Source organism: Homo sapiens, chromosome X (genome assembly GCF_000001405.40).
Source record: "Homo sapiens chromosome X, GRCh38.p14 Primary Assembly".
NCBI classification, from domain to species: Eukaryota; Metazoa; Chordata; class Mammalia; order Primates; family Hominidae; genus Homo; species Homo sapiens.
This window is the reverse complement of record NC_000023.11, coordinates 51,680,728-51,683,476: the sequence shown is the minus strand read 5'-3', so window position 1 is coordinate 51,683,476 and position 2,749 is coordinate 51,680,728. Positions and strand designations below refer to the sequence as shown.

The 2,749-nt window shown below is 54.8% G+C and overlaps 1 protein-coding gene across 1 annotated transcript; it reads left to right on the top strand.

The window, feature by feature from the left end:
• Window positions 1-645: 645 nt before the first annotated feature.
• On the top strand, window positions 646-2,265 carry CENPVL2 (centromere protein V like 2). Its single transcript, NM_001355278.1, has one exon. The coding sequence runs from the start codon at window positions 646-648 to the stop codon at window positions 1,462-1,464; it is 819 nt and encodes a 272-aa protein (NP_001342207.1). The 3' UTR covers window positions 1,465-2,265.
• The last annotated feature ends 484 nt before the right edge of the window (window positions 2,266-2,749 follow it).

Genomic DNA, 2,749 nt, shown 5'->3' with positions numbered 1-2,749 from the left:
AACACGGTCTGATTATCCCATGTTTATATGAAACTCAGTTCCACTTCGGTCGCCCTGGGTAAATGAAAAGGATACAACGGGTGGGAAAAGTCACATCAGGTAAACATTAATTAAAACAGCAGAAGTAGGTATGTCAACATTAGGTAAAGAGGACTTCATCGCAACGAAAATTACAAGAAAAATAAAACGCTACAGCCGAATAAAAGAATCAAGCCCCCAAGAAGACTTTAGAAGAGTCTTTCCGTGCCCCTCCCACACGCCCCTCCAATTACAGTGTGTGGGCGTTCCTCTCTGTTCCCAGAGCCCCTGGTTCTTATTTCTGTCAGAGCAAAGTGTCCCAAGGTGTTGGGGACTGTATTTGCATACACCTGATCCTAAATGAATGTGAGTGCTTTGGAAAGCCTGATGCATCTCCACATCCCAGCGCCCAGGTGAGGGTATCTGGTGCCCGGCAGGTGTTTGCTGAACGCCTCATGACTGCCTTTCAGGCCAGCGAAGGCTGTTGTGATAGGGTCAAGGGAAGGGTCTCTTTACATCGCATTCAACAAGGGGCCAATCCTGCTGGCGCAGGCAAGGAGGCTGCTCAGCGACTGACGGGGAAATGAGGGTGGGGTGTGGGCACGCGCTCCGGAGGCTGCAGGCGCCATGGGCAGAGTGAGGAACCGCGCCACTGCTCAGCGGCGGAGGCGAAAGCGGCCCGGGGATCCTCCCGCCGCCTGCGCGGCCATCGCGGTCACGGGCGCCAGCCGCGCGCAGTGCCCCCGGGTCCAAGTCGGGGTCGGGAGCCACGCGGCGGCCAAGAGGTGGCTGGGTAGGTGGCGACGGAAGCGCCGCTGGCGGCGGGTCCGGAAGGCGGGCCCCAGAGACCTGCTGCCCTCCGCGCCAACCCCGGACCCGCCGGGGCCCGCCCCGTCCCCCAAGGATCTGGACCTGGGCGCACAGCGGGAGCGCTGGGAGACGTTCAGGAAGCTGCGGGGCCTCAGCTGCGAGGGCGCCGCCAAGGTCCTGCTGGACACCTTCGAGTACCCGGGCCTCGTGCATCACACCGGGGGCTGCCACTGCGGCGCGGTCCGCTTTGCGGTCTGGGCCCCTGCAGATCTGCGCGTCGTGGATTGCAGCTGCAGGCTGTGCAGGAAGAAGCAGCACCGCCACTTCCTCGTCCCGGCCTCGCGCTTCACGCTGCTCCAGGGCGCAGAAAGCATCGTCACCTATCGGTCCAACACGCACCCGGCGCTGCACAGCTTCTGCAGCAGGTGCGGGGTGCAGAGTTTCCACGCAGCTGTCTCTGACCCCCGCGTGTACGGCGTCGCCCCGCACTGCCTGGACGAGGGCACCGTGCGCAGCGTGGTCATCGAGGAGGTCGGCGGTGGCGACCCGGGGGAGGAGGCCGCCGAGGAGCACAAGGCCATCCACAAGACGTCCTCCCAGTCAGCCCCTGCCTGTCCCCGCGAACAGGAGCAGTGATTGGGGCCGCAAGCCCGCCTGAAACCGGCCCGGGCGGCCCTGCGGGGAGCGTCCGAGTACCTGCACAGATCCCATGCTGTGAAAGAGGTGTTTCTGGCCTGGTCACACCGGGGATTCCCTTCCAGTATTTGCCCTTCCCCTCCGCTAGTTTTCAGTGAACTCGCTTACGATCCAAATCTTGAACACACCTTTGTCTGCGTAGTACAACGTTAATCTTGCAATTCGGTAAGGAAGAAGAGTGTCTCTGATTTTTCAAACCATCCATTGTATCTCTCGCTTTTACTGTTCTGCCTACAGTTGTCACAAATCACCTGCAGATGATTCCTGTGTACTGTACGTTCCTGGTGCTATTGTGAACAGGCTTGTTGTTTTCAGCGCTTTGCCTCTGGTGTGTAGGACGGCAACACACAACCAGTTTGTAAACATGTGCTAGGACGTCTTCCATTGATTATGGTGTGCGTGGGCTCCCGCACCTGTGAGTTTCAGGTAGACGTTCATATTTTCACTGCTTAGATTCGAGTTATGCTATTTACTGGTTTTTAAATGATATATTTCAAGATTTGGTCGTGTTACATACCTCATTACTCTTTATTTCCTGTAACAGCGAAAGCTGTTACTATTTCGCTTGTTGTTTGGGAAGTGTCTCTGGGTAAGGAGATGGGGATACAGGAATGAGAAAGACATCTGTGCACACAGGAATGAGAAAGACATCTGCGCACTGTCTGCCCTCTTTAATCTTTTGAAATACCTGTCTTGTACATGTGTTAAGTATATAGAAATCAGTAAATACCTTCTAGGAAACTATGTGTGTTGGTGTGTCTATAAAGTCCGGCTTGGCTATGTATGGCAAGGCTTGGTTTTTGAAGGTACTTGGTCTCAGATTATTTCAGAAGGTGGTGGTGACTCTGGCTTTTGTAGTAGAGAAAGCTTCCCCAGGGTCCCCTACCTTTTGATGAGGGGAATTAGCAGAGGGTTTACACATTTGGCCTCTGGGGACACACTACCTGTGTTTGAATCCTGGACCTGCCGCCTGCTCGCTGTATAACCGGTATCGAGTAGATTAAACCCCATTCCTCAACTTGCTCTTTCCTCAAGAATGTTAACAGCTAACAGAGTGTTTGTTCTTGGGGTAAACACAGTGCCTTGCCTTGACTACCTGATCCATGAATGCTTGTTTTCTCAATTTCAGGCCCCCAAAACTCCTCCTATCAAGGCACCCAGACAATATGAAACCGCATTGTTTAGGGGCGTCCATACACATGGGAAAACCATGAATTAGGCAGTG

Excerpts from the sequence above, each read along its gene's own strand:
- CENPVL2 (NM_001355278.1), top strand. The coding sequence starts at position 646 with ATGGGCAGAGTGAGGAACCGCGCCACTGCTCAGCGGCGGAGGCGAAAG.